The sequence below is a fragment of the Homo sapiens genome, chromosome 3, assembly GCF_000001405.40.
Source record: "Homo sapiens chromosome 3, GRCh38.p14 Primary Assembly".
Lineage (NCBI taxonomy): Eukaryota > Metazoa > Chordata > Mammalia > Primates > Hominidae > Homo > Homo sapiens.
The window spans coordinates 133,886,323-133,896,662 of NC_000003.12; the positions used below are offsets into that span (position 1 = coordinate 133,886,323).

At 54.7% G+C, this 10,340-nt stretch overlaps 1 protein-coding gene across 2 annotated transcripts in view, besides 1 other annotated feature; it reads right to left on the reverse strand.

Moving 5' to 3' along the window:
- The window catches only part of RAB6B (RAB6B, member RAS oncogene family), a 71,648-nt gene extending 62,088 nt beyond the window's left edge, over window positions 1-9,560 (reverse strand). The window contains exon 1 of one of the 2 annotated variants that reach the window (NM_016577.4): window positions 9,075-9,560. In NM_016577.4, coding sequence (NP_057661.3) covers window positions 9,075-9,144 — 70 coding nt within the window. In that variant the 5' untranslated portion in view covers window positions 9,145-9,560. The remainder of the gene's footprint in view (window positions 1-9,074) is intronic. The other variant, NM_001363953.1, reaches the window with a different exon arrangement.
- Window positions 9,530-9,579: a silencer, noted in NCBI's record as "silent region_14750". NCBI's record gives its function as "represses an Ori minimal core promoter by ATAC-STARR-seq in GM12878 lymphoblastoid cells {active_cell/tissue: GM12878}" and the evidence as "EXISTENCE:reporter gene assay evidence [ECO:0000049][PMID:35858748]".

The following is a 10,340-nucleotide window of genomic DNA, read 5'->3' on the forward strand; positions in this document are numbered from 1 at the left end:
GCTGAGATTTGTTGCCTGCTTATTGTGGGCCAAGTACTACCGACCTCACACATCTGAAGGCATATAACCCCAATGCTGCAAAGCCTCTGCCCTTATACTCCACCCTGGCTGAGCTCCTTACAGGAAGTAACGGAGCTGTGAAGATGAGGTACTCTTCCCCTGAGCAGGTTTGGTGGCCCCAGAGGAGCAGGCATGGTGAGTCTGTCCCACTTTTTGCCAGCCTGTCTCTGAGCAGGGATGGGGAGCTGGGGAAAACACTGGCCAGGGAGTCAAAGGGTCCTTCCATCTGTGTAAAAGCCTTCACCTGGCAGACCTTCGCTTTCTTTATAAAATGGGATGAGCAGCTCTTCCTGCCAGATCACGAGGATGTAGACCCCACAGTTCACAATACAGAAATGATCAATGATTCTCAAAATCTCGCACCCTACTTCTGCAATGAGGGAGGAGATGGAGATTGCTGTTACTATTTCATTAACAAAATTACCTATCACCTGAGCTTTTATCATGTGAGCCTTAATCACATGCCATGTATAGATGTACTTGATCTTCCTGGAACCCCAACAAGGTAATGATCAACTTCCTGCACAGGTGAGGAAAATGAGCACAGGTGGTGCCATTGCACACCAACACCATCCATTCAGCAGAGGGGTGGGCTGAGGTGGAAGCCCAGGATGCAGGAGGACCAATATGGTGATGGGGTGGGGGTGGGAGCTGGGGCTGGGGCCGGGTCTCTAAGCCCTCCTAGGTCTGCTGGGGACACCATATACCCCTCTTGGCTCTGTCCTTTCCCTGCCCTCCCAGCTTACCCCTCCCACCAGGCTGTGGAAAGGGGTGCCCCTGGGCTAGGAGCACCTGGGAGGTGTCACCTGCCCTGTCGTCCTAATCATGGTTCCTCTCTGTGTGGAAGACACACCTCCTGGAAGCAGAAGTGCAGGATAGCCCCATCCTTGTTGCTTGGCAACCAGAGCCAAGCACATCTTCAGAAGAAGGGAGCCAGCATGCCCCTCCCCCACATTGTGCCCCCAGGGAGGGTTGCACTCAGGTGTAGGGGGCCAGGAATGCCTCCCAGGAGAGGAGGTGGTAGGCTGGAGAAGATCCTGCATGTGGGACCCAGGACAGTTCTGGGGGCAACAGTCGCAGAGCCCCTGATCCCCCATCTCACTCCTGCAGCCCCTCTCACCAGCAGCATGCTTGTCTCCAGGCTGGGAGTGTTATTGGCTTGGCCTCATACTCAGAGCTGGCACTGAATTGCAGAACCAGAGTTAGAGCTCCACTGGCCCAAGGGGTCACCCAGCCCAGTAGCCTTGAGGGGATACACGGAGAAAGCCAGAGATGGGCTGGGGCTTATCCAACATACAGCCAGCCAGTGACAGACCGGGAATAGAATCAGGGTCTTCAGGGCCCTGGTATCTCCAAGCCAGAAGGGAGGATGTGGCCAGGAAAGGGTTACCCCAGAGTAGGTGGGAACCAGCCATTTAGTTTAATTGGTTCTTCCCTGGTTAGTAATTAGTTCTCAGCTAGAACCATGGCAGTGGGCTGAGGGCTGACTTGGGAGGGATTTAGCTGCCCCCATAGGCTCTATCAACTCCCTTCAAAGCACCACAAATGGAAGAACAGGGTGCCTGCTGTGCAAGACCAGCTCCAGCAGCTCCCACACGGAGACCCTGCTTCCCTCCTCCCTGCTCAGGGCCCCGCAGGTTCCTCTTTAGCAAAGAGCTTGGCACAAACACTCCCCACGAGTCATGCACAGCAGACCTCGTGTCCAGAAGACCTCAGTGTTCTTCTGTCTCCTCCGCTCCAGTCCTAGGCCAGAAGCTGCCTTTGAGGCAAGAGGTCTGATAGTCCACTGTGTTTCTCACAGTGACCTGGGTCTGAATTCTAATTCTGCCACACTCACAGTGAGTCCTTGGGCAGGGCCAGCTCTCTCTGAGCCTCTGCCTCCTGACCCACAAAACAGGGATGATCCCACATCCGTCACAGGGTGGCTGGGAAGATAAAAAGTGCCCTGTGTGGAGCCTCCGGCATAGTGGATGTTCAATAAATGCCACGTGAGTGAACTCATGTGAGGAAGGACACAGGCTGCCATTCTTTTTATGCATTTCCTGGAAGTAACCTTTGCTTTGAAAGCTCTATTCTGCCCTCAGGGGTGAGGTAACATCTGCCTCCTCAGGACTTGGGCCTGTCCCTTAGGTATGTCAGCCCCTTGGGACAGGTGATGGCTGGCCCAGAGCATGTGATCTGGTCACCTGGGCTCCCTCTGGCCTTGTTACCAAGAGATCAGAATAAATAAGTTTTTCTACAAAAAATAAATCACTTTATTAAAATGCTAAATTATGTATATCAGTCAATATTTTTTAAAAAGATCTTACTTTGTTTAGGGCAAAAGTTATGAAAATAATGAAAACAATTTTGAAATCTCAAGCCCCAAGATATGGTAAAGAACATCCTAGGAGTCCTTAAGAGTTGTGAGTCTTCATCTTTTCCTTCCCTTGTTCTAGGAAACAAAGACTGGACTGGCATTCCAAGTTCCCAGGGGCTTCCAGTCCCCAGGCCCTGCTTGGAGCCCCATTTCCTGGCAGCCTGTCTTTCCACCCTAACAAAAGCTGTCCATTTCAGGGCGTGTCTGGTACTTCTCCCTGGCAACCTCCACCAGAGCTCCCTCGGCTTCTCTTCCCTGTGGTGAGAAATGGAAAAGAATGGCAGACGCAGAGAAAATGCCCATCAGCTTTCCCGGTAGTCCACCCTGAATGTTTATGAATTCTGCTGTTCTACCTAGCCTTCTGTCACCTTCCCCAGTGGTTCTGTCCAATAATTTCCCAAAGTTAACCACACTGAAACCAGACAGCCCTACACATTCAATGGCCGATGCATTCGGCAACAATGGACGACTTGGGTGGGGAGGACAGGGGAAATCTGCAGCCTGGATGGGATACAAATGTTACCACCCTTGGGCCTGGCCCCGGCCAGTCTGCAAAGTTTGCAATGTCGGGGCAACATCTATAAAGATAGTCATAGACTGATTTTAGGGATAGAATAAGGAACAAAAGGACAATAAGGTTATTTTGTTATATATATATATATATATATATATATATATATATATATATATATATATATATATATTTATTTTGGGATGGAGTTTTGCTCTGTTGCCCAGGGTGGAGTGCAGTGGTGCCATCTCGGCTCACTGAAACCTCCGCCTCCCGGGTTCAAGCGATTCTCCTGCCTCAGGTTCCCAAGTAGCTGGGATTATAGGCATGCGCCACCATGCCTGGCTAATGTTTGTACTTCTTAGTAGAGACAGGATTTTGCCACGTTGGCCAGGCTGGTCTCGAACTCCTGACCTCAAGTGATCTACCCACCTTGCCACCTTGGTCTCCCAAAGTGCTGGGATTACAGGCGTAAGCCACCACGCCCAGCCTTATTTTGTTATAATTTAATGTGATTCATTATAATCTGGGGGCTGCAAATGATAATGATCATCAGATCATGCAAAAGACAGTAATTATTATTACATCTACGCAGCCAGAACATATTCTAAGTTTCTTTTTTCTTTGCTGGCAAGTTCTCTTGCTATGCATCATCAGATTAAAGGTGCCACCTTCCTCTTATACCAAGTACAGGTTAATTCTCATCCTGGTGTCTGTCTGACTCTCTCACTCACACACATCTGTTTAAACAAATAAAAAAGCAAAGGTTCTGGGCCTGTACCCAACCTCCACAAAGGTGCCCCTTCTTATGCCAGCCACTGAGGAAAGGAGAAAAATTGGGAGGAGAGAAATCAAGAGAAGGAAGCTAAGGCTCAGGGCAACAGGGTGATTTCTTCCAGATGTCAAAGTGAGCTCTGGCAAGCTGAGGTCTGGTGTGTCCCTTTCCACCTCTGGTGGCCTGGTTGTTCTCATGTATTTCTTCAGAGACTAGGAATGAGGAAGTGCCCCCCAAGAACTTCAGGTTTTTTGAGATGAATTGTGAGTTGCGCATGACCAAGGTTACATGATCCAGCTGGGCACCATGGCTCACACCCATAATCCCAGCACTCTGGGAGGCTGAGGTGGGCAGATCACTTGAGGTCAGAAGTTCGAGACCAGCCTGGCCAACATAGTGAAACCCCATCTCTACTAAAAATACAAAAATTAGCCGGGCGTATTGGTGTGGGCCTGTAGTCCCAGCTACTCGGGAGGCTGAGGCACAAGAATTGCTTGAACCCGGGAGGCGGAGGTTGCAGTAAGCCAAGATTCTTAAGATATTGCTGGTAAAAAATCTGGCTTAAAAAAGCAGCAGGTGTCAGGAATTTGAAATAGGAATCCTATTTCAAGCCACCTCAACTTCCTTCACTTTTAATCTACTGATGGGCCATCAGCAAATCTCACACAGCAAGGATAATCTCATCATTTTCAAATCAAGATACTTAATAAGCACAAACTACCTGCAGGTGGGGAGGGGTGAAATGATGACTAAGACATAGACCTCAGAAGATGCTTAAAATTCAATTACGGTTTTTGTACCTGAAAAAGTTAACATTTTAAAATCCTTAGCTAACAGAGACAACAGAAGACAGGTCATGGGGAAGCATATGATTGTATTGTATTTAAGAAATGTTCAGAGAAAACCAAAGCTATGCCATGGTGTGTGGCCAGGTGGGCTGGTAGCCCAGGGGAGCAGGAGTGGAAGTGAGCACCTAAGAGCAGGTAAGTCTGGAAATTGGTGGGAGGAGGAAACTTGCTAGGAGGGGCTGCTGGCACATCTACCAGGCTGATGAAGGGCTCCCTGCAGGAGGGCAGGTGTTCCATGGTGTGGCTAGTGGGAGGGCAGGGGTCAGGATGGGTCAGGCTGCGGGCAGAGGAGTGAGCCTTCCAGGCAGTGGGGGCCACTGAATGATCATTAACCCTTAACCACAGAGGAATGGGCTGAAAGTACAGGGACAGCCCCAACTCAGTACCACCAAGCCAGATACCTGAGAGTCACCCTTGTCCTCTGAACCTCCACCTCATACACTTTCTACAGGGCAGAGCAGAAGAACAGGCAAGGCCCTCTGGGTAGGGTGGGCTTGTTCCAAGACCTACTTTCTACACACAGCCCAAAGATGAAGTAGCAGTAGCCTACTGCCTATAGAAGCATCCCTTGCTAGCCTACGGAAGCTGCCTCTGACACCAGCCCCCAGAGGCGGGTCAGGCGCCCCTGCTCTAGGCCCCAGTAGCAGCTGTTCTTCTCTCATCATGGCTCTCATAGACCTTTACTGTAATTATATCCACAAATGTCTGTGCTCCCAGTGGACTATAAGTTCCAGGAGGGCAGGAATACGCTCAAAGAATAAATAAATAAACAGATAATGGAGGGAGGACAGGAGAGAGAAGGAGTGGGACGGAAGGATACATGAACAAATGACTAAACAACTGAGCAACAAAAAGGCAGCTGCCTGCATAGTCGCTTCATTGCACAGCTCCAAGGAATGCTATTCACAGTATGCTCAACATGGACAGCACCTCCAGCAGCACAATACCAGGGGCAGGGCAGGCAGGTGGCTGGTCAGAGCGAGAAACTGGCCTGCCGTCCTCAGCTAGGAAAGCAGACAGAGCTTTTGCGTCTCCATCCAGTCTTCCTGCTTTTGCTGGAAGAGTCTTGGGGAAGGGGAGGTCAGAAGAAGACAGTGCACAGCAGACGCATCCCTGACCCTTCCCACCACACACACTGAGATGTGCCAAGTGAGGCCTAAAAGCCGACAGAATGCCATTAGAGCTTAGGAGGAAGACGTGGGTCCCACAGGCCCACTCTCCCCTCCTCAAACACCTGCTCCTGCTTGTCTTCTCGGACGCCATCAAATGCCCCAGTCGGGACTGACATATGTCACCCTCCCATGTCTCCTACCACTGCCATCAGCACAGGGGCATACCCAATAGGCCCAGAGAGCCATCTGGCACCAGGGGGACTCCACAGCCTCCCTGCCACAAGGAAATCTCTCATCCTGGGTCCACAGCACCCTCCCCACAATCCCAGCCTGTGCCAAGCTGACACTGTCAGCCAGCCTATATTCCACAGGCCAGGGGGACAGCTGCCAGGAGGGGGGCTCTTTCACTGGCTTGAGGTATTTCCTCCAGAGTGGCTTCTCAAGGGCCTCCCATTCAAACCAGTTCCCTGGTATCTTCAAAGACCTGATGTCCACCTGCGATTATCTGGCCCAGGGTGTGCTCCACACCCTGGTCCATGCACGCCACTCTTCTTGGGAATCCATTGCCCTTGCCCACCAGGCTAGAGAAATGCCACCATTATGCTAGGCACAGGAAATAAGATAAAGCCACATCCCTCCAGCTCCTTCCCCTGGCCCATCTCCAGGGCACTCGGCTCATATCGGCAAGCCCATGCTGCTCTGAAAGACTCCGCTGAGCTCAGCTGGCCCAAGTCCCCCATGCACAGAAGATAAGGGACCTCTGAGGTCATATAAAAAGAGCGAGCCAGGGCCAGCGTGAGGGCCAGCCCTCAGGTGGCTCTCTCCACTGCACAGGCTGCAGAGAATGCTGGCACAAATGACCAACAGATGCAAAACTGTGCAGGCAAGGTAGAAGAAGCGGCTGTGGAGGTGACTCCCCATCCCATAAGGCTTAGAGATGCACATACATGTCCCCTACCTAACTCAAAAGCTGTGTAAAACCTAAAAGAACCCACTAACAATGCAACAAATTGGAAACAGGCTTTTCAGGGCCTTGGGACTCCCTGACAGAAGGCACCAGGGTGGCCAGCAGCCCATCTCACTGATAGCAGTGACTCTCTAATGACCATGTTCCAAGGGCTCACAACCCTGCTCCTTACCAACTACTCAGCATTCCTACCAGTCACAAGCCCCAACTATAAGCCTGGCTGGACAGAAGCAACCCTTACTCCCTCTTGGGGAGGCTCCCCAGTTGTTGGCTTCCCCAATTCAAGGTCATCTTACTTCACAATGACACGCTAGTGAAAAATATTGGACTGGAAATGAGAGGTGGGGCTCCAGCCCAGAAGCATTAGCAACTCACAATGGGACTCTGGGACTCCAGGCAAGGCCTCCCTGTTCCCTGGGGCTCAGACTTCCCATTTGAACATATGGGAGAGGTGGTGGGTTCATTTCTTAGGCTTCAGCTCTCATTTCTGTGATTTTGGGAGCAAAGGGGGTCTGTGGAGCCCAGCAGGGGCCTCCGTTCATCAGGGATTCTGAAGGAGCCCAGATGTTCCCTCAAACTCACCAGAGACACTTTCTTCACCAAACTCCTAGTCCTTTCTGAAGCTTGTGCAGACTTAGAACAAATGTTTGCTGAGAACCTACCAGGGGCCAGGCACTTTGAGAGGCACTAAAGAAACATGAAGAAGTAAGAGAATTGTCTTCAAGCAACCATTTTTCAGAGACAGAAAGTGAGTCACAGAGAGGCCTCAAATTTTACTAAAGACAACACAGCTAAGAATTCAACCCCCAGGCTGCCTGATCCCTGCAGGTTATCTCCCAGGGCTCCAGGCCGGGTGAGACTAGCACTGGGATGTGAATACCACCAAAATCCCTTCCAGACACAGGGTATGGTCAGCTCTATGAAACTGGGATCTATTAAAAACAGGCAATCAGAATCCAGGGCAAACGCTGGCTGGCTGAGTGGATCTTCTTCTGAAATGCCCAGCCTGTCCCCCAAACCCATCTCCATACTGGGCCTGGACACTACCTTCTAACGTCCTTCTCTGAACCATCCATCTTAGGCAATGAGTATCAGCAGACAAGAGCCAGCCACGTGACCTCCATAACCCTCATGTACACACAGCACAGTAGCACTGTTCCTGGGCCCACCCAGTCCTCCCACAGCTGCCTTTCTTTTGGGCCCCCTTGTCAGAGAGGCACCAACCCAGGTGAACAGGACTGGTCTGCAGAGGCAGAGCTGGGGTCCTGTCCCGCAAGGACAGCCTTCTCCCAGAGCAGAGCTGACCAGAGCTCAGTTTGTCTCCCTGCAGCCCCATGCGAGAGGCCTCTGGAGGGATGCTCTGAAAGCCACTCCTTCCTACAGGTGGCAGAGGGGTCCCTGCCCTTCAATCTGGGCTTCCCGCCTCTAGGGACTAACCTGGTTTTCAGAGATGTTTTCCTGGGGAGGGAGCCGGGCAGCGGAGAAGCAGTCTCCCCCTCCCCCAGCTCTGGCCGACTGCCAGGGTGACCTCCCCTCCCCCAAGAAGGGCGGTGAGCTGGGAGGTGGGGGTGGGAAGAATCCACCGATGCTCTCTGGAGGAGTGCTGGGAAGCTAGGCAGGGCGTGTCGCCTGGGCCTTTCTCTGCCCAGAGCCAGACTTCACAGCCTCTCGGTGTGAGGTGCCCCTGTATCATTCCCCAAATCGCCTCGAGTTGGGGTAGCCCTCACTGCAATTGCCCAGATCCCTGGGCAGCAAGGAGACTAACAAGCGCCGGCGAAGGGCAGCGGGTCTAGAACCTTCTGTGCCCAGTCGGACGTGAGCCAGGGGAGGTAGGCTCCCCGTTCCCCCATGGCCTGCACTCGCTCTTTCGAGCAGAGACAGGTGTCGCTCTTTTCTCCCCGGTGGCTGTTTGTCCCACGCCCTGGACGTGCCCTTTCGCATGGTTCCCAGCAGGGTCCGCAGGGAACACCCCTCCAGTGCAGCGGAGTGAGGCCCGGCCAGACCCCAGCTTCGCTTCGTTCTCCAAGGGGGGCGCCCGTCGCTCTCCCCACCCCCGCCAGCACCCAGCCACCTGCGCGGTCGCCCGCAGCCGGTGCCGCAGTGTGAGCTAGCCAGCGAGCCCGGTTCCTTCACGCCCTGGCCAGCGCCGCGGAGCCAGCCGCCGCCCTCCGGGCCCCCTGCAGCGCCGCACCTGCACCCACACCCCGGGCCCCCCACCCAGAGCCCACCCTCACCTCCACCCCAGGCTCCAGCGCCTCCTCCGTCCTCACCCTTGGCCCCTCCCCAGCCCGACCCCGCCCCGACCTCCCCATCCCTGTCCCTCTCCTCTACCCTGGCAAGGAGGGGCCTTTCCGAGCCTGGGCCGGGGGTCCCAATGGGGTGGGCGATTGGGCGGCGGGGGTCGACTCGGCGACAAGCCAAGAGATTAAGCCGGGTACTTACCGCTCTGCTCCCCCAAGAACACCAACTTGAATTTTCTCAGTGGATTCCCAAAATCTCCCCCTGCGGACATGGTGCTGGCAGCCGGGGCCGGGAGAGGAGGAGGAGGAAAAAGCGAAGGAGCAGGGAGGGGAGAGTAGGAGGGCGAGGGGAGGCGGCCGGCGGTGCGGGAGCCGGAGGGGGAAGGGCTGGCTGCGCGCGTCCCTGACTCCCCAGCTGCGTCCCGGTCCCGGCCTGCGGCTGCGTGTCCGGCGGCGGAGGAGGAGGAGGAGAGAGAGGCGGAGGCGGAGGAAGGCTGGGGCTGGGCTGCTGCGGTCGGCACTGGCTGCGGTGCGAGGGGCGCGCTCTTTACGCCCGAGGCGCGGCGCTGGGAGAGAGGCGCGGGCGGAGCGGGGCGCAGGGACGGCGCGCGGGGCGGAGGAGCGCTCTCCAGAGCCGCGCCAGTCGGCCCCCTCCCGCCTGCCTCCTCCGCCGGCGCCTGCGCTCTGTGCGCTCCCCAGCCTCTGATGTCATGCGGGGCCCGCGGGGCTGCGGGGCTGGGGGGCGTGCGCCCGCCCACCCGAGCCCGCACCCGGGCAGGAGAGAACCTCCTCGCCGTACCCCTGAGAGCCCCCCGGGGGGGACCGTGTCTCGCTGCCCCGCTGCGTCTGTCTTCCCCACTCTACCCCTCTTTTGAATCCAGAAAATGACAGAAATTGTCAGGGGACATTTGTTTCTGGTCTTTTAAACCTAGATGCCAGTCCCTTCCTCCACCTCGCGAGACACCGATGCACAGCGCAGTCGTCCGACCGACAGGGCGGAAAGGAACGAAGGTGGGGGAGAGCCAGGGTGTGGCGAGGCCCGTCAGGGCGGTCAGACCTAGGGAAACCTGGCGTACTTGGCGCAGATGGGGCTCGACTCTTGCCCCCCGTGGCTTCTAGCCCGCCCTTCCCTCTCGAGGCCTAGACCCTTTATTTGGGCGGCCTCTTGTGGAGTCTGTGGGTGCCCCCGCAGACCTGGCCAGCGAGAGAGGAGCTGCCAATATCAGGCGCGCCTACCTCAAACCAGCTGCTCATTTGGATCATTTTATGCCAAATCCTAACCTGCCCCATGGGAGAGAAGGAACGGTGACGCTCTGAATGCCAGTGCCACTATCTCCAGGACAGTGCCCTGCGTTTCTTGATCCCGGGGTCGCCAGGCTGACAATGCCACTCCCCACCCTGGCAATTAGGTGTATCTGGACAATGAGCTATCTGAGGACATGTGGGCGACCTCTCCTTGGCCTCTACT